This window comes from Homo sapiens, chromosome 1 (genome assembly GCF_000001405.40).
Source record: "Homo sapiens chromosome 1, GRCh38.p14 Primary Assembly".
Lineage (NCBI taxonomy): Eukaryota > Metazoa > Chordata > Mammalia > Primates > Hominidae > Homo > Homo sapiens.
Genome location: NC_000001.11, coordinates 55,344,350 through 55,371,014, shown reverse-complemented (window position 1 = coordinate 55,371,014; position 26,665 = coordinate 55,344,350). Strand labels below are relative to the sequence as shown.

The window sequence follows — 26,665 nt, the reverse complement described above, 5'->3', positions numbered from 1 at the left end:
AAAATGAGAAAATTCAGAGAAAGCATACTATTTTCATATTTTTGAAGGATTGTCATGAGACAGGAAAATTTGATTTCTGTAAGAATCCAAGGAGAAGAATAAGAGTGAACCTCTAAGGAAACAGATGTATAGGTCTAGAAACTGAGGCTTTGAGAGTGTAAATGACTCACTTGCATCCACACAGCACATTTTTTACCAAAGAGGAATGTCAACTGAGACCTCCTAAAGAGTCAAATAGCTGGAGACAATTGGGCGACACAAACTTAGGTTCAAATCCAGTTGCCACCACTTCCTCCCTTGGGTGGAAATTCTCTGAACCTTCTCATCTACAAATACTAGTGCAAACCTGCTGGGGCTCTTAAAATCAAATGACACTCTGTGGATGATGTGTCTATCATGGGGCTCAGCTCATACTGACACTCAATCAATCTCACTTCTCTCACCTTTCCCCTTTTCACACCACATCATCTCTTCTTTTCCTGTAATTTGAACAGCAGAGGATTCACTTTAACCCAGTGTCCAGAGTAGGGTTTTCTTGCTTTAATTGAAGGACAGTTACACTTAGCTCGTCCATTGCCTGATCCCACAAGAGAATCAAGCCACAACAACATCAGCAGGAGAGTAGGTGCTCAGAAAGCATCTGATAGTACTGAAGAATATGGGAAAATAATGCTTCTGCCACACCCTGCACCTTACTGGCTGTCTCCATGAGCACCTCATCCATTACCTTCCCAGCAAAAGCAATTGTCTGTTCCCTCCTGTCACCAAAGCTGATGCTCCATTTGCCTCAGCCATGCATGCCAAACTGAGTTCTCAGAATATACTTTGCCAGATCCAACCTCCAAACCTTTGTCTAGACTCTTCTCTATGCCTGGATTTTTTCCCTCTTTTTCTATAAGGTAAACATCTTATCCATTCTTGAAAATTTGGATGATTGCACATCATCTTCTGCAGACCTTTCCTGTGGTCTCCAGACTTGTTAGTCTTGGCTTTGTTTAAAATGAATTGAATTGCCACATACAAAAGACTCAATAAAAACTACCTTTTGTCATCATTGCCAGCCCCATCATCACTGGCTGGAGTGTCATCTGCCTTGGAGGCATAGCTACGGAAGTCTAGAGAGCACTGGAATGGTAACTAAACAGTGAGTACAGCAGGGTTCTCACACTTTTGGACGGGTGGGGGTTCTACAGTAATTTTATTGTAACAGAGAAACTAAGCTGCAATAAGTCTATATGATTAGAGCAGACGGTGGCTGTCTTTCCAAAGGGTGAAGCCTGAGTCCAGCCGGCAGCACACAAAGCCCAGAATATCCTCTTTCCTGGCACTATCCTGCACCGCCTGACTCATGGTGTGAGATGAGTGACTGTACAACCACATTCAGTGAAGATAAGAGGTCTCACTGGGTAGAGGCAACAACCCAACAGGAGACAACTACAAAATCGATGAAGAAGATGCGGAAATAAAATGCAGTTGCCTACTCTCCACTATTATTTGGCAAGAAAGTTGAGAGTATGGCATGAGCAGAAACTTATGTTCTTTGTTCTTAAATAAATCCCAATAGAAATGGGGTTATTATCAAACAAGCAGTAGAATGAGATGAACAACTAGGTTAGATAAAAGTATTTGTGCATAAGGAAAAGAAGAGCAATGATAAGAGAGAAGAGATGGCCTTCTCTTTTACTTAAATAAGACAGGAAACAGCATCTTTTATTTTCCTTGCTGCAGTGGCTCATTAATTTTCATAAAACACAGTTTCTGCAATACGGTATATTGATAAGGTTGCTCCATCACGGGAGGACAAACATGAGGCTGACTATTAATGCCAGAACTAGGTCTGCTCTCAAAGCCTCTAATGAGTACCGTTTCTCATGAGGAACCCCTGACACCATACGACACTTCAGTTAAATCATCTGAAATATTGCAAGGGCATGATTGGCAGGGTTTTTTTGGCGCTATGACTTTCTTGCACATGTAAACTCTTTCAGAAAAGTTGGCCATAAAAGGATAAAGAAGACTTTGATTTAGAGCCACAAAGTTCCAGACGCCAGTCATGAGTGCCTCTGCCCTGTGTCACTACATGTTCTTTTCTGAGAATCACAGTCACTGAGAGTCATACATTATGGTTGAAAGAAATGATCCATTTACCACCATCCACCCTCCCTCATCCTCTGTGCAAAGCTCACAAGAGCAGAGGCTGAAAACAGAAAGGTTGTCTCTGTTCCCTCACACCAGGGATATTACTTGGTGACCTGGTAAATAGCATAGGCAAGGTAGCCCACGTTGCCAGAAGTGACCCCTGCCACAGAGATGTGGCCATCCTTTGTCATCTAGATGGAGAACTCCTTGGTCAGCCAGTCCATCTGTTCAGGCTTTAGCCCTGTGAAACAAAACTTGCCAACTTGCTCAGTGATATGTTGCCAGTTGTGGGAGGAATCCTCCTTCTTCAGAGGAGGATTGTGGGAGTTCTCCTCTTGAGGTTGAAAACCAGCTGAGTCCACATGCTAATGATGCAGTCGGCCATATTTTCACTTCTTGCAACCACTGTTTTTACAAATCCGGAGTGTTCAGAATGGTAGAGGCAATCCAGGCCTCATTGAGAGGAGAGTCACAATACGTGGGATGGATCAAGATTTTCAACTGTGACTCCACACTTTTGACTTCAGCCACATCTTTGCAGATTATAGTAAAGTCTCCCACACGCTCTCCATAAGCCCATGTTTTGGCATATGATTGGCAGAGACAAATGTTAATGCCCTGTTTGATGAAGTGGTACACAGCCCCGGCATCCTTGTTACCGTCACCTCTGGCAAAGCCTTGATAGGCCATGTCAAATAATGTAGAGATTCTTTTTCTTCACCCCATTGCTATTTCCTTCCACTGCTCTGGACAAGGGTCCTCTTCCATGAGATTATGGGCCCAGGCATGCAGGAGAAGAACACTTTGCGCTGGTATTTTTGAAATGTCCTCCATAGTGCCTGTGAAGTCAGAACCACAAGTCTTGGGGTCATAGTACTGATAAGCTTGTAGCTGTGTGCCAGCATCCCTGAAGTGTGTGATTTCCCTAGGATGGTTTGGGCAGAAAGACATCTCAGCTGAACTTTAAAACTCTTTACAGAAAACTGGTTCTGATCCTTAAGGCCCCAGTTCGAGAAATAGCCTGCACAGTGACAAACCAGTCGCTTTTCAACACTTCGCTGTTCTTACCCAGGGCTAGTCCTGCAGATGTCTTGCAAAATTCAGCCAGTACCCCAATGAGCAGGTATTCCTTGTCCAAATTTTTTGTGGCAGTCTGGGCCTCTGCCTTGCAGATGTTAGACAGCAGATAAAGCTTTCTGTTGTTGTCCTGGTTGGCACCAATTACCAGATTCACCTTTTTGCTATCAATGTCTCTCTTAAAGGCTTTGGTGACTCCCAGGATAGGATCTGGAAGTCCCATGTCCACGTGGGCCCGCCAGAAGCTAGTCCTGTTGGAGGCTGCCATGGCAAGGCCCAGTTGGAAGGCAGCGGTGATCCAGGAGGTGATGTAGCCTGAGTGCGGCAGGGCCATGGTGGACGGGAGGAGGGCAGTTGAGTAGCTGCAGAACAGAGTGGAGGGCAAGCGGGCCCCTCCCACTTTTTAAAAGCAGTCAGAACACTAACAGGGAAGGCAGCATGACCAGTTCAGAAGGCCACACACAGGGACTTCCACTCCTGGGGTGAATGTACCAATATGTGGCGAAGGACCTAGGCTAATCAAGCCCATGATGTGTAAACCCTGATGCCCTTAAACATATTGACAATGGAAATGGAACTCCTGAGGGAACCTGAAACCTCTATGCTCCCACTCTGGCTGACCTCCTGGATGATGTTTGATGAGCAGAGGATTGGAACCACGGAGAGCAGCAGTTGTAGAATTCAAATGCTCACTGTCATCAGTCTTCCCTCTAGAGAAATAGCCCCTGAAAGACCAGACAGTCTTGCCCTTGATCAGTGTGATTCCTACTGTCATAGTCTGCTCACACTGCCATAATGAAATTCCATAGATGGGGCGCTTAAACAAGAGAAATTTATTTCCCACAGTTCTAGAGGCGGAGAAGTCAAAGATCCAGGTGCTTGCTGATGTGGTTCCTTGATGAAGGTTCTCTTCCTAGCATGCAGGCAGCTGCCTTCTCACTGTGTCCTCACGAGGCAGAGAGAGAGAGAGAGGTAGGAGTGGGGAATCTCTGATGGTTCTTCTTATAAGGACACTAATCTCATCATGAAGGTCCTACTGTCATGACCTTATCTAAACCTATTCACCTCCCAAAGTCCCCATCTACAAATGCCATCAAACTGAGAGTTAGGGCTTCCATATATAAATTTGGGTCCATAGCACCTCCTCTCTACCAAGAAGCATCTGGGTCTATCTCCTTCAGAGACTGGCCTGAAGGAGAGTACAAGTGACCCTGTGACTGCCCAGCAGTGCACACAGCAGTCAGAGCAGAGCCTTGGGAGTCACAAAACCTGAGTCTGATTCAGGCTCCAGCATCGTCAGTTGTGTGACCATAAGCAGCTGTGTCCTTCCTGATCCTCAGTTCAGTTTACTTTTCTATAAAATAGCAGTAGTGATACCTACCTCCTAGGGCTGTTTTGAATATTAAATGGGATATTGTAAGACAGGCACTTCACATTGTCCTGTCAAAGAATCCATGCTCAGTAAACAGCAGCCGTTGTTTCCCAGGGTCGGGTAGCACAATGACCTCTTGGTTTTCTAGATCTGGAATGCCTCTATCTTGAGCCAAGCTTGAAGGAGTGCTGCCTCAGTAATTCATGTTCATTTATGTCCTTTGACTTCCCAACCCTTTTTCAATTAGTACCTTCTTTTTTAGATATGTTGATGGCCTTCTGGTCTTAAAATTAGTCTACTTTTCAGAGGGTGGTTCTTGCATATTTGTGTCCAACAGGTTTTGATTTACAGTCAAACCCTCAGAAGACAACCTTCCTTCTCTTTCAAAGTCTTTGTGGGCACCTCTTTAGCAAAATCGTTGAACTGCCTAACAATTCTTGGGAGAGGAAATTCCACAATTTTTGCATCCAATCCCAGAGAAGCTATTTCCTAGTGGTTTTGATAGGGTGAGGCATGAGGTTATGAGTGGGGTTTGGAGGCTGTAAGATGAGCCCTCATAGGGCTACTTATTGCTAGGTACGCTGCCCTCAGTGAGGTTGGGGTGCCTTCCTGGGCTAAACAGCTTAGTCTCACTAGGGCATGCATAAGTGTGGTAGCGGCAGTAGTGGTAGTAGCAGCAGTTACAGCAGCAGTATGAGATGGCCGTATTTTTCAGTTCAAGTATGTATTTTCTATGAAATGAGCTCATAGGCTCTGAATTGGTAGAGCACCACAGTTTAGCCAGTCCAATCTGTCATATTTGCAGATAAAGATGTAGAGAGTCACTAGCCTGGCCAGCCAAATTAAGGAAATGACCATGGAGAGCACTGAGATGATGAATGTGGATGTCCAACACTTAGCCTTCCATTTCACTGATGGAAAGCAGAGGGCCAAAGAGATCGGTACATTGTTAGAAAACCACAGTGCTAGTTAATGCTAATCTGAAGAACTTTCTGCCCTGGGAGTGACATATAGCCAAAGAAATGCATCGACAGGGCAGCAGAAATTATTTACCATATTTCTTAAATTTGTGTCAGATTACCTGTCTATATCATCTGTACTACATCTTGAGATAATATTTTTATAAACCTGCTGATTACCTTTAAACAGCACAGTTGTACCACTATCACTATGCCTCACTCATAATCTATTTATTTCATTTTGGTTTAACTGCTATAGTACTGTTTGATTTGAAATTTTAAATCATATTATTTTACACCAAAAAAAAATCTAAGATTTTACATTAGCCAAAATTACTTCAATTGTTATACTTTTTGCATGCTGAGAAACACAAATTAACAGAATGTGGTTTTGGTGTTAAAAGTGCTAATTTGTTACCTGTCACCATTTAAAGTAGATGATATTTTGCCACCCTGTTTTAATGACACTTGTTCCCTTTTTGATACATCACCACAAATCATAAGACGTGAAAGGGGCCCGCATCTCTCCTTTACTGCAGAGGAGCCTTGGGGATAAGTGCTCAATAAACATGGGTTTGTTGGTAGTGGAAATGATGGTGGCAGTGGTGGGGTGGGGGACTGAAATAATCTGTGGAATTATTTTTAAATTCTAGAGTGCTATAAGGACATTAGCTACCAGTATTATACTCAGATATCAATCCCCTCTTGCTCTGTAGTTAGAGATGAACATTAAATAATATTAGTATTTGCAATAGTATATGAAAATATGCAAAGAGAAAAATTTGTAAAATTTCAAATGTCTAAACCCAATTAAGCATTTTTCCCCAGAATACTATGTTTCTTCAGCTTTTCCCCCTGTGCCTCTCTCACTGCCAATTTTGCATCCCAGGATGGCGTAAGATTGGGAGTAATAGCAAATGGATGCAGAAAGAGAGGCACAGATGGACAGTAGGAACAGTTGAAAGTGAACCCGCCTGCTCTAGAGTGCTGTTCCCAGGCAATGGGTGGCAAGGCATTCTGGTATGTGTGTAGATGTTCCAGTCCAATGCTGTGGTTCTACTTTTGAGGTCAGTGTCGGTTATTTCTCAATCCCATTCCATCAATGCTGTGGCAAGACAAAACCCCTTCCAGAGACCTCCAAATTATTCATGAAAAGTCATTCCTTCCAGGCTGTTGCAACTTTATGTCTTATTCTGCATTTGGGAGTATTTTGATGAGAGAGAGGGTGGTTAAATCAAGCACTACTGGAAAGCCACCATCATAACCCAGAAACTCCTCATTCTCAACCATTAAGAACCCTGCCCAGCCTTCCCTTGGTTTTAATCCCGCTGATGACATGGATTTGGTGTTTCTGGTTAGCCTGATGGTAAAAGCTCTTGTAGGAAGTCTGTTTTTTTTATTTTGCCACCAACTCTCTTCCAAACCAGATGCATTAATATAAGAGGTGACTGGTGAAGCTGTTTCCAGTCATGCAATTTCTCCAGAGCTCATCCATTCAGTCAGAAAATCTTGGTGCAAACCTACCATGTTCCAGGCCCTAGGTTGACCCTGAGATTCAAAGATAATTAGCACATCCATCCACACTTCTTCTAATGCCATGGAAGCCTTATCTTGTTTATGGCCTCTGTCTTATTCTGTATTTTAATGATGAACAGCTGGTCAACGTCATCTATATGATAATTCATCATTCAATCATTTATTTTTTTGCACAAAAATTTGTCCCTAGATAATCCTCAATGATGGATTTCTATTGGAATTCAGTTCAATATCCAGATGTGTAAGTATGTTTAGGAGAGTCACCAGACCCTTGGAACCAAACTTGTTTTAACTTGATTCAACTACAAAGACCTTTCTGAGACCCCGCTTAAGTTTAATATTGCTTTCCTGAGGCTTGTCTGTTCTCTAGTGCCTCTTATCATAGGTTCTTCCAAGCCACCTGTTATAGTTGACCCAGTTTCACTACCCAAGAACTGGAGAGTCATTTCCTGTTGTAAGTACTGGAAGAGATTTTAAGAAGATGATACAGAGCAGCTGTTTTCTCAAGCCACAGAAAGTAGAACAAAAGAAAGAGCCCTGGCCAGGAATGAAGAGACTTGGGTTCTTGTCTATGCAGACTCCACCTTGCTAAGTGGCTATCAGGAAGCTTCTTAAGTCTGGACCCATCACTATGTTCTCCCTCCAAACCTCACACCCAATCCTTCACCCAATCCTACCCCTTTTTCAGAGTTTTCTTTTCCAAGGTTTTTACTCAAGCTTTATGAAGGATTATAGGATCTAATTTCCACTGTGATGTTATTTTATGACCATGTGAGCCATTATTAGAAGTCAGTAGTTCTAGAAGGGACTTGAACAAATGCTCCATTTATACTTTCTTGCTCTAACAACATTTTCATTTCCTGAGCACTTATGCTGACTCCAGCCCTTTGCTGGGGACCAGAAAGACAAAGATGAAATAAGATTGGCCATCAATACTAAAGGGAGCTCTGGGAGTTCAGAGGGAAACCTAACCCATCCTGAGGGAAACAAGATAAACTTGGTAAGAGATAGCATTGCCTTAGCTGGCTCTGGAAAGGAGAGTGTGGATCATCTAGAAAGAAATAAGTGCTAAGCACAGGGAGCCATGAGCAACTGCACGGAGTTGTGAGTGGCATAACTAGGAACTTACCAGAAGTGTGAAGTTACTAGAAGAAAAACTTGGGAGGCTGGGACAGTCAGATGAGGATGACTAAGAGAAACAGAGTCGCGTTTCAAAGGCCTTGCAAGCCAAAAATGAGATCATTCCTCAGCCACAACCTTTTAATGGCTTCCTCTGCACCCAAATTAAGATCCAAATTCCAATTAATACTGAAAACATTGGACTGCTGCCTGCATTTCTTTCTTTTATCAGGTCTCTCAGAGGTTCTTTAGGGAAGTACAAATTATTCTGACTGTAGAGAAGCTTTATCTCCTCTATTTTTAGAGTATATGGAAATTATATGTAAGTACATTATTATTATTTCAGGCATATAAAAAGTATCAACAACAGTATAATAAGCATCTGCATAACTCTCACTTGTATTAAGGATTAAAATATTACAGATATACTTGATGTCGTCCTCCCTAATCTCATTCCCTTCCCTGCATCCCAGAGGAAACCACTGTCCTGAAGTTTATGTCATTCTCTTTCATATTTTTATATTTCTATCACATATGTATTTATAAAACAGTAATACTACTTTTGTGGGTTTTTAAACTTTAGCAAATAGCCTTGATTCTCCTAATGACTTGCTTCCTTCACTCAACATAGTTTTTGAGACTTACCCAATTGATATATGCAATCGAATTTCATTCATTCTAATGATGTATAGTATCATGAATACAGAAATACACAATTTATTTTAGCCATTCTCATAGGGATGAACATTTAGGTTATTTTCAAACCAAGCCTTGATTCTCCTAATGACTTGCTTCCTTCACTCAACATAGTTTTTGAGACTTACCCAATTGATATATGCAATCGAATTTCATTCATTCTAATGATGTATAGTATCATGAATACAGAAATACACAATTTATTTTAGCCATTCTCATAGGGATGAACATTTAGGTTATTTTCAAACCAGTCATGGTGGTGTGCACATGGAGTCCCAGGTACTTAGGAGGCCAAGGCAGGAGGATCACTTTACCCCAGGAGTTCAAGTCCAGCCTGGACAACATAGTGAGACCCCTGTCTCTAAAAATAAAAAATAGCTTATTTCCAATGTCTTTCTATTATAAACAAGGCTGCTATTTTTCTCTATTTCTCTATGCATGTATGCAAGATTTCTCTGAGAAATGTACCTAAGAGTGAGGTCCCTGGTGATAAGATCTATACATCTTCAACTTCACTAGCTGTCTTTGTTAGGACTGCTGTAACAACTTACCATTGGGTAGCTTAAACAACAAATATTTATTCCTCACATTCTGGAGGCTGGAAGTCCAAGGTCAGGGTGCCAGCAAGATCAGGTTCTAGCGAGGGCTCTCTTATAGGTTACAGATTGCCAGCTTCTCCTTGTGTCCTCACATGATGGAAAGAGAGCCAGTTAGGTTTCTGGCTTCTTTTATAAGGACACTAATCCCAATCATGAAGGCTCTACCCTCATGACCTAATCACCTCCCAAAGGCTCCAAATACCACCATACTGAGGATTAGATTTCAACACATGAATTTGGAAGGGGACACAGACATTCAGTCCATTGCAGTAGCTATTGCCAAAGTTCTCTCCAAAGTGATTTTACCAATTTAAACTCCTGTAGCAGTGTATGAGAATTCCTATGACTCCATATTCTTGTTACTACTTATTGTCAGATTTTTAAATGTTTACCAGTTTTATCCTGGGGATATGAAATGGCATCTCATCATAGTTTTAATTTGCATTTCTTCAATTACTAATAAGGCTGAGCATCTTTTCTTTCTTTTTTTTCTTTTCTTTTCTTTTTTCAGACAGAATCTCTCTCTGTTGCCCAGGCTGGAGTGCAGTGGCATAATCTCAGCTCACTGGAGCCTCTGCTCCCCAGGCTCAAACAATCCTCTTACCTAAGCCTCCTGAGTGACTGGGACTACAAGCACATGACACCACACTCAGATAATTTTTGATTTTTAAAAATTTTTTGTAGAGAAAAGTTCTCAGTATATTGCCCAGGCTGGTCTCAGATTCCTAGGCTCAAGCTGTCCTCCTGCCCTGGCCTCCCAAAGTTCTGAGATTACAGGCATGAGCCACCGAGCTTGGCCATCTTTTCATTTTCATTGGATATCTGTGAACTGTATGTTTAACACCCTTGGCTGAGTTTTCCTTGGGGCTAGTTGTGTCTTTCTTAGTGATTTATGGGAGTTCTATACATCTCAAGGCTAAAAATCCTTTTGCATTGCACATATTAAAAAGAGCTGGAAAGGTCACACCGGTAATCCCAGCACTGTGGGAGGCCAAGACAGGTGGGTTACTTGAGGCCAGAAGTTTGAGACCAGCCTGGCCAACATGGCAAAACCCCATCTCTACTAAAAATACAAAAAAATTAGCTGGGTGTGGTGGCGCGTGCCTGTAATCCTAGCTACTCAGGAAGCTGAGGCACAAAAATCACTTGAACCCAGAAGGTAGAGGTTGCAGTGAGTCAATATCGTGCCACTGCACTCCTGGCTGAGGAACGGAGCAAGACCCCCATCTCAAAAAAACAAACAAACAAAAAGAGCTGGAAAGAAGGCCTGAAGGCCACTCAAAGCTGCATGGCGGGTCTGTAGGCTGCCCCTACCATTGTTGCCGTTTGGATGATTTGGGCAATTTTTGAGCCTCTCTGAGCCTCAGACTCCTCATTTGCAAAACTGTAATAATAATAGTTGCCCCAAGGGCTATCATGGGAATTAAATGAAATAATGTATGTAAGCCACTTCATATATAAGAATTTGGTAATAGTAAAATACCAAGAATGACAGCTGACATTTATTGAAGCCTTCTTTATTGGACTAGACAAAAAGCCACAAATGAAGAATGTAAGCCTTGGCTTACACTCCAAAGCCCAGGCTCTTAACCAGGAAAATAAATGGTCGCTATTATTATTGTCCTAATGGAGCAAACAGCTAGCTGGGCATCCAGACACAGTTCCTATAGCTGACTGTGCCTCCAACTACCCATGTGACCTTGTGCAATTCACACCACTTCCCTGAGCCACAGACATTCATTTGCACATTCCTTCGATAAACTCTCTGCCTCTACTGTCTTATACTAAATTGTTGGTGCTGTAGAAATGAGGACGTTTGGGAGCTTCAATTTCTTCACTTTCACAATGGAGATTAAATATCTACTCAGTTCTAGGGCTGCTATCACAAAGCACCACAAACTGGGGGACTTGAAACAAGAGAAATGTATTGTCTCACAGTCCTAGAGGCTAGAAGTCTAAAATCAGGGTGTCTACAGCACCATGTTCCCTCTGAAACCTGTAGGAGAGAATACATCTTTGCCCCTTCCTAGCTTCTGGTGGTGGCCAGCAATCCCTGGTCTTCCCTGGCTTCTAGCCGCAGTGCTCCAGTCTCTGCCACTGTGTCTCATGGCCTTCTCCCTCTGTGGCTGTGTCTCCATGGGTCTTTTTATAAAAACCCTACACTGGATTAAGGGCCCACCCTACTCCAGTATGACCTCATCTTAACTAACACCTCCGCAATGACACTACTTCTAAATAAGGTCACATCCTGAGGTACCTGAGATTGGAACTTCGATATATTTTTTGAGGAACACAATTCAGCCCCAAACAATGTCCTAGATGGGAACCCTGCATAGGACAGGCCTTCAGGGCCCAAGGTCAACCTGGCATGATCTTCTGTGGCATCCCTGGAGCTCTGGCCTTCTGGCTCCACAGAAAATGGAAGCCCAAGTCCCAAGAGAAGGGCCGTCATATTTCCCAAAGCAGGGTTTTCTTTGATGCAATCTTACAGATTAAGTCCAGCTAGCAATGGGATATCTTTGATAAAATGGAGGGGAAAGAGGCCATCCTACCCTTTGATCCTGAGAGATTAGGTAAGCAGAGTTTCAAGAATGTTGTACTAGATTAGTGTTCCCTTTTCAGAAAATACAGTCCAATTCTAAAAGTTATGATAGGCAATAATTTGTCTCTTAAAAAAAATAGTTCCAAGGATACAGGAAGGGAAGGAAGCCAGCATTTTTATTTAGAGGCTCCTCTGTGCCAAGCCACATGTGGAATGGTTTTACAAACATCATCCCTTTCAACCCTTGGACAATTCTTTGATAATTAACCCCCATTTGACAGATAAGGAAGCAGGCTCAGAGAAGTTAACTGAATTTTCCCCAAGTCCCAAAGCTAAAAAGATGGTGGTATGAGGAGTTAAACCCAGTTTTGTCTGACAATCAAGTTTATCATCTTTCCACTCTGCTAAGTTGCCTCTTTATTATCTTATATTAGATCATGTTATGTGAAAACTTGAACCAGTTTACCTGGCAGGGAGTAGTCGAAATACATATATATCCTTCCCTCTTGCAGAGAATGTTCTGGAATGAATGAATGAATGAGTGACAATGGATGAACATACAGCACCCTCTGATTCTCCTGTCCTCATGTAAACTCTTCCTTCTCTGAATTCCCAGTACTTTGTTCTTCCCACTTAAATGGGACTTACTCCCCTCCCCACCCTCTACCCTCACCCCTTAGCTCATTCCTCAGAGAAGGGATGAGGTCTAACTCATCTTTCATCCCATTTCACCCCAGCCCCCTTCACTGGGCTGATACACACTAGATGCCCAATATCTGTTTGCAAAGCATGAATAAGCAAAAACTCCAATAAAACACATAGCTCAGTATTGGTTAAAGAGATAGGTTTAACCTGACAGCATCCCTAGGAAATGTAGAAAAAAACCTGAGCTGGGACTAAGAAAGAGGCTCCAGACTTGTGCTGTTAACAAATTTGTTATGCAAACTTAGGCTACTCTTGGACCTCTCTTGCCCCATACATCAAATGAGGGGCTTGAACTAATGATTTTGAGAGCTATTCTAATCCATCAGTCTAGGTCTTGGTGTCTCCAAATGTCAGAAGGGGTCATGGGCTACAAGACATCCAGATGCCAATAGGGATCATGCTGTCCAAAGCTGAGGAATCCTCTCCCAGTTTCCAGTTTTAGTATGTGGGCACCTTGCAAATGGCCTGTTGCAAGTTCCAGGCAAGAACGTCCCAAAGACAGCTGAAATGAAGAACCAAGATCTTTCAGCAGAAGGTTCATTGTATGCAAGCCTTCCTGGGGCCGAAAAGAATGCCAGAACCTTGTTCAAGGGTCTATTCCTTGAAACAAACAGAATTTCTACTCTCTATCCCTTCCAACAAGAAACCATAATGATGATAGTTAGCACTTATTGTGCACAAATGATTTGTCCTGCATTGTGTAAGCCCTTCATGGGCATTATCAAAGTTGATTCTCATGTGAGGCATATCTGAATTGTAATTTATATATAGAAATATAAATTGTTATTATTATGCATATTTTATTCCCCATTTTACAAATCAAGAAACTGGGGAACCAAAGATTGAGGGACATTTCTAAGATTATCTAGGTATCTCTATACTTCAAAGTCTAGTTTTTATTTTTACTTTTTAATATGAAATACATTCACATGGTACAAAATCCAAAAGGTACAAGGATGTGTGCAGTATGTTTCTCCTATGCCTGGTCTCCCAGCATCTGCTCTCCCAGCATCTGCTCTCTTTATGGGAAAGGCAAAAGATATTACCAATCATTTGCCTATCTTTCAAGAGGTCTTCTTCACTAAGAGAAACCAGTGGTCGTGTGTACCCATCAGCTGCACACTACAATGTTCTGCACCTTTATTTTTCTGGTTAACAATATCACTAGGCAATCATTCCATATCAGTGCATAAATATCTGCCTCATTCTTTGCATGGGTAGATAATAATCCACCATCTGAAAGTGTCATGATTTATTTTAAAGAACACAAATGAGTCCCAAGCTTTTAAGCACTGGGATTTACACGGAAGTACTAAGAAGCAGGAACATCCTGTCCTCAAGCCCGGGGTCACTAAGTTCTTCTGATCAACTGGCCCTCTATGAGATCTTTACACAAAACTTTCAGTCTGATTGAAGACTAAATTAAACAATTAAGGTTAAGCACTGTGTGCTTGGCACATCGTAAATGCTCAGTTATTATGCTAATATCAGCAGGTATCTTACTATGTGGACCAAGACAATTGGAATACTAGAGAGTAGCAGAAGAAAGAATCTGCCTTCTTCTCCAAGGTCTGTGGAGTGATGGAAAGAATAAAACAGACCTGTGTTCAAAACCAGCTCTGCTACTCACTGTGTATTAACACACATATGTCTTAACACAGCACTTCCACTCTCTGAGTTTGGGATAGGCAAATGGCTGCCAGCTTGCAACTACATATCCCCCACTCCTTTGCAGCTAGGTGTGGCTATGTTCTTACCAATAAACTATACATGGAAATTGCTTCCCCTCCACTTCCTCTCCTTCCACCTTCCTATGGACTGGAATTCTTATGTGGTGCTAATGAAACACCTTCAACCAGATGGAGGAGGTAACAGTCTAAAGAAAGAGCAAAACTAGTAAGAACTTGGATACCTGAGTAACTCATAGGACAGAGTTACACATCAAATCTACTTCATCCACATGGCTCTAGAGTAGACTGTTACATGACAGTGCTGTCCACATTGATCTTGTTTTAGAAATGGGATTTTGAGGGGCCGGGCGTGGTGGCTCATGCCTGTAATCCCAGCACTTTGGGAGGCCAAGGTGGGCGGATCACAAGGTCAGGAGTTCAACGCCAGCAGTACCAATATGGTGAAACCCCGTCTCTACTAAAAAATACAAAAACTAGCCAGGCGTAGTGGCGCACACCTGTGATCCCAGCTACTCAGGAGGCTGAGGCAGGAGAATCTCTCAAACCCAGGAGTCAGAGGTTGCAGTGAGCCAAGATCACGCCATTGCACTCCAGCTTGGGTGACAGAGCAAGACTCTGTCTCAAAAAAAAAAAAAAGAAAGAAAAGAAAAGGGATTTTGAGGTTTCTGTTGGAGCATCTTAACTTTTACCCTAACTAATGGTGTGACCTTGAACAAATTACTTGACATCCCTAAGCCTCAATAGCCACATCTCTAAATTCCCCATAAAGAGAAGGCAAACAGAACACCTAACATAGTACTTGACACGTCGTAAAAGCTCGTTAAATGGTTATCTGGGCCTTGGTTTTCTCATCTGTAAAATGGGTATATTAATCATTTCTTTGTGAAACTCAAATGAGACAGAGGACCATACCGTTTACATAGTCAGGACCCAGCTGCCAGCAACCTGAGATATAGTGTATTTTGCACAGATGAGAGGTAGAGGTTTAATCTTCTTTTTTTCCAGGTGAGTTTGGGTAAGTGCCCTGTTTTTGATTCAATGTAGGAGTGCATCTGGATTAGGGAAAAGGGAACCTCCACCTCTGCAGGGCCAAGGAAGTCAAGGCCATGGAGGAGGAAGCCTGCCTAAGGTCCCTGACCACACAACGCCTGCTAACCTGAGCATGAGTGAACCAGAGGCATGTGGTCCCATCATCTTTTTTGTGCATATGATTTTAAAGATTAATGAGAGAGGCAGAAAGTAGTAAAAGAGAATTGAATTCTCACAATCACCCTCCATTCATTTCACTCAAATGAAAGGGTTTAAAGGCCAGTTTTTAGAGCTTTTGTGAGCTAGAAATCCCAATGTTTATTAGGTGCCTAACATGTTCCAGGTTGAGTACTTGATGCCTTAGGGATGCTCTCTCCACTGATGCTCACTGCAGCCCCAGGCAGGATGTACACCCTTCACTCCTAGACAAAGGAAGAATTTGAAGATCAAAGCATTGAAGTACCATGCTTTGTCCGAGGTCACACAGTTAGTCTGTAGCTGATCAGAATTTGAATACAGATCTGTCTGTATCCAAAACCTACGCTCATTGTTTGAGTGTCCAAAACCTACACTCACTGAGTCTACAGTTCTAATATTTATTGAATACCTATTATGTTCCCAGCAAGGACAAAGTGCCATGGGGAATAGCAAGACAAATCAGACATGGATGTTCTATTTTCTGGGTAATATCAAGATGCTTTATCTCACAGAAAGGAATGGAAAGGGTGTCAGAACTAGAGTCAGCAAGCATGGGTTGCTTTGCTTCTAACTACCTCTGTGTCCTTTTGCACATTTCTAGCTTCTCCAAGTTTTTTCTTTCTTACCTATAAAATCAAAATAATGCCTCTATCCACAGCAACCTCCAAAGTCACTAGGAAGATCAAATAAATGAAATAACAGGTGTACTGATGATGTGCTAACTATGATGCACTGGACAAAGATGCTTTAGGATATTCTGGGAACTTTGCTGTGCTGTCACAAATGTTTCATTAATGTCCGCAGAGACAGTGAGCCAAGCATATTTGCTCCCTTGGGGACAAAGGGAGTCAACTAGTGCCTCTTGATAATGTTCCCAGAATGAGAAATCCCAGAAGTTCACATGCATGAGTATGGGACCCTCTGAAATTTTTCCCAGCCAGTGCCAAGCAGCAGATGTCAACAGCTTTGTGGCCTTTCACAAACGCTGTCAGCAACAACAACCCTTCACGTGAGGATGGCACTTTAGAGTTTACAGAGTAGTTTCGCAGCTGGAAATCCTTTGGACTTCCTTGGAACCCAGCAAATTAGGCAAGACAATTTGCATATGACGAAGTTGAGGTGTCAAGGCTCCAAGATGTGCCACAACTTGTCCAGAGACTTACAGTTACTAACGAGCAGGGTCTATGCTATACAACTCATACGTCCAGCCTATATCTGGGTCCAAAGTTCTTTGCATTTCCCCATTAAACACCACCTGCAACAAAGGAAATTATACTGCCCCTTTTGGGGCCCAGGTTACAACGCATCATGCTGAAACCTGCTCATTCATTCATTCATTCAATAAATGCTCACTGAGAATCTGCTCTCTGCCAGATCCTGTGCTGGGCCTCACAGAAAACAAGAAGCCAGATGCAGAGCCTGCTCCCAACGGACTCACAGTCGGCTGGGTCACAGAACCAAGTGGTGAGGGATGACTAAGCCAGGACTTCACCTAAGCACTCTCTCATTCTCACCACACTGCAAAGTGCATGTTTTTCTCTAAATATAATGATGGGCCAAGGAAGCTCAGAGACACTGAGCATCTGGCTCAAAGTCAATCAGCCAGTAAATAACACAGCTGGGATTAGATTACAAGTCTGTTAGATGTCAAGCTCAGGCCCTTTCCCCAAGAAAACACAGGACTCCTCAAAATATCTTCAATACATTATATCCAGGATAGAATTGTAAGTGCCACGGCACCCATTTGGCTTCATTACATGATTTCAAGTGACCAATTCAACTAATTTATTTTTCCTTTTGATTTCTTTTTTTTTTTTTTTTTTTGAGTCAGAGTCTTGCACTGTCACCCAAGCTGGAACGTAGTGGTGCGATCTCAGCTCACTGCAACCTCCACCTGCCGGGTTCAAACAATTTTCATGTCTCAGACTCCTGAGTAGATGAGGGAGCTGAGGACAAGAAAGCACAAAGATCTTGCCCAACATCACACAGCAGTTCAGTATCAGAGCTGGAATATTCAGGCGGAGGGTCAGATTTTAAAGCTTCAGTTATTTACACCTCGCTGGGTTCTGGGTCCCTAGCCATGGGCTTGGCAATTTCACATTCAGAATATCATCTGCTTGAGACAGGGACAAGTTACAGTTTATCTTTGTGTCACCAATGCCAGACATGTAGAAAAATGTCCTCAATGAATGTGTGATAGTTTGATGGATGAAACAACAGTAATTATCCCCAATATAAAGAAGAAACTGAGGTCCAAATAGATTACAGTATCTGTCCGAGGTTACATGGCTCACAAATGACCATGCCAAGATTCAAACCTGGTCATTCTGGCTCTGAGGGCCATTATGGGTCTGCCAGCAGGAGGACCTATAAAAGGCATCAGATCCATAGCAACATTGAAAACAGTCACAGTACCCATTCTTAAATAAGCTCTCTTTGTTGTGTCCTCTTAGTGCTAGAAAGAGCCCTGGAGGTGGAGGTTTTGCAGGGGAACCAGGTAAGTACACTCAGCTGGAGGCCATGACTAGTGTGTAGGGGAAAGGAAGACCCATCCCAACAACGCCCACCTTGCAGAGAGGCCTCAGGCCCAGATGGCCAAACTAGTCACACATGTTTGGAAGTCAGTGAGCAGCTTTGCTGGGGGCCAGGAGAATGATCTGTTCTGGGGGTTCTGCCAGACCTGGGGATGAGGCCGCCAGAAGGAGACCAGGCCAGGAGAAGGACAGATGGGGCCAAGGCTCTGCCAGAATCCATGCTGGCCCCAGAGAATCAATCCACTAACCAGAACCATGACTTTATTCCAAGCTCAGAGCGTTCTGGCTCCCAGATTAGACCACGAAAAAGTGGTTCCATGTGGCCCTTTAGGCTTGGTCACTTCCCCAACCCCCAGCACTACCCCCCACCTCCAGCCCAGAGTCACAGGGCAGCCATTTCGTGTCAACATGAGGATGTTGCTCTTTATTTTCTTCTCTTTTGAATGTATAAAAATAACTCTGCCTGACCCAAATATCCATGTGAACTCTCAAGAAGCTGGGCTTACACATGTTTGCACGTCAAGCCCAAAGCAATCCCACATGTGGCTGCTGAAAGGAGGTGTCCTCTACGTGGCAAGAGGCTGCCTTCCTCAACCTCAGGGATGCTAATGGAAGGAAGAAGTTAGCACACATGCAACTTCTTCCTAAGCTCTTTTAAATGGGTCTTCTCATTTAATTTGTCATGTTAATTTTGCAGATGAAAAACCTAAGGCTCAGAAAGATGTGTGATTAGTTTAAAGTCATTCTTGCACTCAACAAATGTTATCATTTTCACCAATGTGCCTGGCGTGGATTTTTGCAGAGAAACCTTATTTTTTTCTGCTAGATAAAACGATTCATTAATGGACTTTCTCAGTGTTCCATGAAGTTTCCCAAAGTGCACAAGATAGAAGAGTAATTCAAGGAGAGCTGAAGAGGCATTTGGGAAAAATGAGTTATATGCACAAATTAACCTGGAAATCACCGATTAAGCAACAATTTCTTAGGAAATCGCTAATTAAAGAAACTAAACAACACGGGATTTTCTTGAATACAGAATGTTTCAGAGCTCTTACTTGACTAAAGTATATTTAAGTCTCCCAGAGGAGTTATCAAGTATAGTCTCTCCCACTGCAATATTTTCCCAAATGTATGATGGAGAGTTCTAACAAAAACTTTTTTGGAAGCACTTCTCTAGTATACTGGGTTGAATCATATGAAATTGCCAATTTTTGACTGGTTTTGATCTACAAACCATATGGTTTAACCTAATTAGGTACAATAGGGGTTTTTCATGTATTTTGTACCTCTATTATCACATTTCATAATGTGATGTGACGAATGGGCTATGAATGCCTTGAAAGTTACTTGTTATATAGCCTCGATGTGCTCACAGTTAGGGCTGGGAATAGTCCTGGGCTGTGGTGGTAAAGTTCATGATTGTCCATCTACAACATGGAGCTGCCATGGGAAGCAGCCACCTAACAGAGACTAAGTTTCCCACTCCCTTTATGTCCAGGTGGGTCTGGGGATGAGTGTCCACGATGGAATGTGATTACAAGTGATAGATGTCACTGCCAGATGAAGGCTGGTAAGAATCAGGTGGGCCTCCCCCACCCTCTTGTTTGCCCATCTTCTGGCTAAAAAAAGAGGACTCCAAGGACCGAGAGGTTGGCAGATCCACAAGACGGAAGGGGACACCTTCTTTGATCCACCACTTGCTGGGAAGCTACCTACCAACCAGGAACACCCACATTGAGTTATTAGGTGAGGGAGAAAGGAACTAATTACCTTAAGCCACTGAAATGTGGGCTGGTGGGGTAGGGGGGTGGGGTTTTGTTGTTGTCACAGGAGAAAGCATTATCCTAACTACTACAGTAAAGTTGGGAGCAGACAGTGAGAGTGCACATCCAGGACCCTGAAGATGGCAATAATGTAGAGCAAAAGATGACCAACTTCAACAAAGCCCATACAACAGAAGGATCATGGTGGGGATGGCCAGCCTCTCACATTTGGAAGCCAGTGTAATTTGCAGGAAGTATACTATGAAGCAAGAGCTGTGCTGATTATGAGGGTTATTGATCACAATCCTAATCATTTGGTTGAGATGTCCTTGGCATCTCCCTCTCTTGCCCCCATGTCCAATCAGCCCTCACCAGGTGCTATTGATTCTGCATCCTCTGGTCTCTGCCTCCATCTCCTCCTTAGCACCTCTGCCCTAGACACACTGTCTCCTTCAGGATTCCCTAACACCAGTCTCACACCAATCCCTCCATAGCCCCACAGACAAGGATTGCAAAGGGATTGCCTTAACACTGAAAATCTAACCATACATCTCTCTGTTTAAACCCTTAAACAGCCCCCAGTGTGCCCAGGATAAGGTCCAGATTCCTCAGCCTGGTAGTTGGGACCCTCCAGAGACTGGCCCTTGCCTCCTTCCCCAGCCTTCCCCTTCACAATCAAACCACACCCAACACAGTGTGTGTGGCCAGTCCTCACCACAGCCGTATGCACTTTTGTCTTATGGGCCACTCCCTCCGTAAGAATATTAATATTAAAAATTATTACTAGTATAATTTTAAATCCTTTGAGGTGTTTTTCTATTTTTGGCAAAATTTAATAGATTTCCATAGCCCCTACAAATTCCTTTTCTGATATGAAAAAAAATTAAAATATTTTTCTAAAATACTAAAACATTCCATGTTCAGGGGGCTTTTTTCCTTCTGATTCTGAAAGAAATTAAAATATTGCCTTGGTTGCTGAAAGTCTCATGGGCCCGAGGCACTGTGCCTGCTGTACCTGATGGATGAGTATCCACATGGAATTACTGTGAAGTTCCTCCTCCCTTCTCTAAGTCTGTCCTTATCTGTGATGTCATCCTGCCCCTACCTTGAGGAAGAACAACCACAGTTTATTGTATTTTCTCTCCCCACTATGTCCATGCAACAGGAAGGTTCACAACGTTGGCAAGCATTGGAATCACCAGGGGCTTGTGAGCATGCAGATTCACAGCTCTGCTCCTGAAGGCCAAGATTCTTTAAATCTACAATAGACCTTGGATTAGCTAGACTTTTACAGTCTCCTCAAGGGGTTCTGGGACAGATCACCTTCCCAAATACCTTGAACTTTGCGAGACCCACTTTGGGAAGTCCTGTGTGTGATGCTGGAACATCACAGTGTCCTCTGTAAGAGCAAAGGCCATGCCATGCTCATCTCTGGGTTCTACTGCACAACACTGTGCCTGGTGGCAGCGGGTGCTGAGAAAAGGTTGAATTGAATTGAGCTGAACTAAATGGATGAGAAGTTCTTCTCTCCTCCTATGCTCCACATTTACATCAGGAGGTGATGGTGGAAAGAACAGCAAACATTTCCTCTCTCCTCACCATCCTGGGAAAATTAAAATACAGCAGGTTCTCACCCAAAGGATTGGACAAGTGAGGCTCTGTCTTCTGAGTTGAGCTTATTGAGTGAAGTGGGAAGATGGTGAATTTTAGAGGAGACTAATCTGCGTTTGAGCATTGATTTCACCACCTCCTGTGTAGCTATGATCATGTACCCCCCATGTCTGATCTTCCATTTCTTTACCAATAAAATAGGAACAGTATAATGCCATGTATATAGAATGTGCTCAGTGTTAAGTCTCTTTCTTCTTTTCACATGAATAGAGCAAAGGGTACCAGACTTAGAGGTGTGGGGCCTGACTCTTCTGTTGGGCTGACCACTCACCAGGCACCTGGCATACAGCAGGAGCTCCCTGCACACCTGCCAGACAGGTGAATGCCAGAGCCCTGGCTCCAGGCAAGGTGCTGGCTGTGCTCTCTCTTCCTCTCTTGGGTCCAACTCCAGGAGTGAGAAGGTGGCTGTTCTCTGGAGAATGTACTGCATTTTGCTGCCTCCACCATATAGAGTGAGGACCAGACTCTAGAGGGACAGAAGAGACCCTTCCCCTCTAACCCGCCAACCTCCACCAGATCACTCCAAAAGAAACATTTTTGCCCATCAGAGAAGCAGACAGAGGGTAGCAATGGGCATGCTAGCCCTGGGCCTACCAGCAAACTGACCTCCAAACCAGGCAGGCTAGGCAGTTGATCTTACAGCCCTCTCTGCTGATCTTTGAAAATAAGACAGAAGGGAAAACATTTACCTCCCCAAAGCAAACATCTGCTTTGCAATTTCTGAGGATGGGCCCACAGAGAGAGCTCTCCCCCTGTAAGGGTTCCCAGGAGAAGCCAACAACACCTGGGGCTTGTTCCCATGAAGGAAGGGCCGAGTTCCCAGAGATGTCCCCAGCCATGCCTCCCTCAGGATGATGCTGAGGCCATCTTTACACACCTGCTCTTCCTTTTCTGGGTCTGGGACAAATCCATCTCTGAGGGGGCTCATCTCATCACTGATCTCATTTTATGAAATGAGTATTGTTTTATTTGTTTCAGCCCCAGGGTTCTGAGGTTGCCTCACAGTGGTCCCTTTATTCTACCTACACTCTTCAGCTAAAATAAACTGTGGACAAGGGAAAAGGCAAGAAGTCGTACTCATATTCTCATACAAAAACCTCACAGGAAGGATGGTTGCCAGAGAGAGAGAAAAGATTCCTGATCCACTGAGCATTTTCAAATCATAGAATTATGACATCTAAATGTTCAAAGGAACTGTGAACTTCTACTATTTAACTTGACAACCTCCCAAGATTACCCATTGGAGACCACACTGAAAGATAATTATCCACTAACAATTTACTGTGTATCATAGAAACTGTTGGTTGACTGCCCAATAGCCATTTCCTTCCCACTTTTCTCATGGTGACAGCTATACATACACACACACACACGCACATGCACACACCACAGCTAAAAATACAAGTTTCATGTTTTCCCAGCCTTCCTTACAAGTAGGAGTGGCCGTGTGACTTTGTTCATCTCAATGATATTTAAGAAAAAAAAATACAGGAAGGCTTGTGGGAAAAATGTTCTTCCCTGATAAAAAGAGATAAAGAGAGAGATGATACTCTGGCATCTCTGGCCATCTCTTGGCTTCCTGCCTTTGAAAACTGCCATTCGAGGCTGGGTGTGATGGCTCACAACTATAATCCCAGCACTTTGGGAGGCTGAGGCAGGAGGATCACTTGAGGCTGGAGTTCAAGACCAGCAAGGGCAACAAAGCAAGACCTCATCTCTACAATTATTTTTTCAATTAGCCAAGTGTAGTGGTGTGTGCCTATAGTCACAGCTACTAGGGAGGCTAAAGCAGGAAGATTCCTTGAGAACAGAAATTCGAGGCTGCAGTGAGCTATGGTCATACCACCGTACTTCAGCCTGGTTGACAAAGCAAGACTCTGTCTCTAAAAATTAGACATTTTAGGACTAAAACTAAGGTAGGACTATTTAAATCCCAAGGCAACAAGCCTGAAGACAAAAGCCAGTGCTCTAGGAAAGAGGAACAGAAGGATGGAAAGAGGATGGGTATTTTTTGCCTGTTGAGCCACTGAACCAGCTTAGAACCGCCTACTTCTTAAAGCCACTGTTAGGCAGGTGTCCTATTCCTTACGGTCAAAAGCATCTTAGCTGATGCCTCACACATTATCAAACCCTAGCATAACAACATCTTGGAACATGAAGGGAATGCAGAGGGAGTAGTAATTCCAGGGTTAAAAGTAGAAAATAAACCTTTACAAAAACTGGAAAATACATGTGAATGTTTAATATTATCAAAATATTCCCTTGTGAATGCCTCTGTTTATAAAACAGAAATGGTAATATCTACTGTATGGTAGGTATTCTAAGGATTAGATGATTTAATACATGCAAAGTAAAGTTAAAAGTGCCAGGCACATAGCAAGTACTATCTAATTATAGCTCTCATATTAATCAGTAAAAAAAATAACATTCTTTAATAAATAATATGAGTTTGGGCAGGGCACTAGACTTGGAATCAGAAAACCTGGCTTCTAGACAGTTACTTCTCTTTGATCACATATCAATTTTTGTGGCTGTTTTAGGACAATGAAATCCCAGTACAATATATTCCCTGTGTCAAAGAGTGTTGAAAGTTTGATGAATCAGATGAATTTTGAGTTATCGTATGTTGCCAATTCAGTAATGAAATAAATGTATCATTGGAAGTCTTTAAAAGCTTAAAAAAACTTGTAAATAAAATGGAACATTTTGGTTATGCAACTATGTAAGCATGTGGATGTTTTTAAATAATTTCATGTGAAATTAGTTTTCTTCTTCTGAAACAATAGCTATACAATAATAAGTCTAAGAAGAAAAGCAGAGTGGAATAAGATAAACAGGGAGCTAGAGAGCATGTGGTCTAGTTTTAGTCCCTCCACTAACCTAGTGATATGCCTCAGGCAAGTCCTTTCCTAAGCCCAAGTCTTCTCATTTGTGAATTGAGGGAAAGAGCCTGGAGTTAGGAAAGGACAACAGTCTTTACCCCAGCTCCACTCCTTGGTGTGTGACCTGATAAAGGTCACTTACTTTCTCTGAGCTCCATTGATATGGTTTGGCTGTGTCCCCACCCAAATCTCACCTTGAATTATAGTTCTTATAATCCCCACGTGTCATGGGAGGGACCCAGTGGGTGGTAATTGAATCATGGGGCAGTTACCTCCAAGCTGTTCTCGTGATAGTGAGTTCTCATGAGATCTGATGGTTTTATAATGGGGCTTTTCCCACCTTTTTTCTCAGCACTTCTCCTTCCTGTCATCATGTGAAGATGGATGTGTTTGCTTCCCCTTCTGCCATGACTGTAAGTTTCCTGAGGCCTCTGCAGCCCTGCAGAACTGTGATTCAATTAAACCTCTTTCCCTTATAAATTACCCAGTCTTGGGCAGTTTTTATAGTAGCGTGATAATGGACTAATACACCCATGTCTAAAATGGGGATGAAAAAAACAGTGACCTCATTGGAAAACTCTGAAGGTCAAATGTCAGGACATATGAAAAAATTCCTGGCACAGAATAGACCCTTAATAAATGTTGTCCATCCTGTTTCCAATATTCTACAGGTCTGTGTAAGGCATGACCTGGAAAATGCAAGGTACCAAAAGAGAAAACGTGTTCTTTGTCTCACAAGACCATGCCCAGAAAGGATGGCTTGGGCCCCACTGGAAGGCCAGCATTCCTGGGCAACCTTTAGCATGGGGGACATTTATTAGATTCAGAAAACAAAGACAGTTCATAAGGATTCCAGTGTAAGGAATGTTGGGGAATAAATATGGGGAGGGGCAAGCTCTGAGAAGCAGACTTCTACAGGACATCTTCAGTGCCTGAGTGTTTATCATCAGAGTTTCCACCGTTAGGAGGTCAGGTAGGAAGCAAAGTCATGAAAACATTCACTAATGTACCTACTGTATTAGTCTGTTTTCATGCTGCTGATAAAGACATACCCGAGACTGGGAAGAAAAAGAGGTTTAATTGGACTTACAGTTCCACATGGCTGGGGAGGCCTCAGAATTATGGCAGGAGGTGAAAAGCACTTCTAACCTGGTGGCAGCAAGAGAAAATGAGGAAGATGCAAAAGCGGAAACCCCTGATAAAACCATCCAGTCTCGTGAGACTTATTCACTACCATGAGAACAGTATGGGGGAAACCACCTCTATGATTCAAATTATCTCCCACCAGGTCCCTCCCACAACCCATGGGAATTATGGGAGTACAATTCAAGATGAGATTTGGGTGGGGACACAGCCAAACCATATCATCCCACCCCTGGCTCCTCCAAATCTCATGTCCTCACATTTCAAAACCAGTCATGCCTTCCCAACAGTCCCTCAGAGTCTTAACTCATTTTAGCACTAACCCAAAAGTCCACAGTCCAGTCAGTCATGGTGGCTCATGCCTGTAATCCTAGCACTTTGGGAGGCCCAGGTGGGCAGATCACTTGTGGTCAGGAGTTCAAGACCAGCCTGGCCAACATGGTGAAACCCCGTCTCTACTAAAAATACAAAAATTAGTCAGGTATGGTGATATGTGCCTGTAGTTCCAGCTACTCGGGAGGCTGAGGCAGGATAATCAGATGAACCTGAGAGACGGAGGTTGCAGTGAGCCAAGATCACATCACTGCACTTCTGCCTGGGTGACAGAGCAAGATTCCATCTCAAAAAACAAACAAAACAAAAGTCCACAGTGCAAAGTCTCATCTGAGACAAGGCAAGTCCCTTCCACCTGTGAGCCTGTAAAATCAAAAGCAAGCTAGTTACTTCCTAGATACAATGGGGGTACAAGTATTGGGTAAATATAGCCCTCCCAAATGGGAGAAATTGGCCAAAACAAAGTGGTACAGGGCCCATGCAAGTCTGAAATCCAGTGAGGCAGTCAAATTTTAAAGCTTCAAAATGATCTCCTTTGACACCAGGTCTCACATCCAGGTCATGCTGATGCAAGAGGTAGGTTCCCATAGTCTTGGGCAGTTCCACCCCTGTGGCTTTGCAGGGTACAGCCTCCCTCCTGGCTGCTTTCATGGGCTGGCGTTGAGTGTCTGTGGCTT

General features: G+C 43.0%; 1 pseudogene, besides 1 other annotated feature; it reads right to left on the bottom strand.

The window, feature by feature from the left end:
• On the bottom strand, positions 2,241–3,550 carry GOT2P1 (GOT2 pseudogene 1; annotated as a pseudogene).
• Positions 26,165–26,665: an enhancer, noted in NCBI's record as "H3K27ac hESC enhancer chr1:55810023-55810523 (GRCh37/hg19 assembly coordinates)". NCBI's record gives its function as "activates a minimal SCP1, AML or CMV promoter by ChIP-STARR-seq in primed H9 embryonic stem cells {active_cell/tissue: H9 hESC(primed)}" and the evidence as "EXISTENCE:reporter gene assay evidence [ECO:0000049][PMID:30033119]".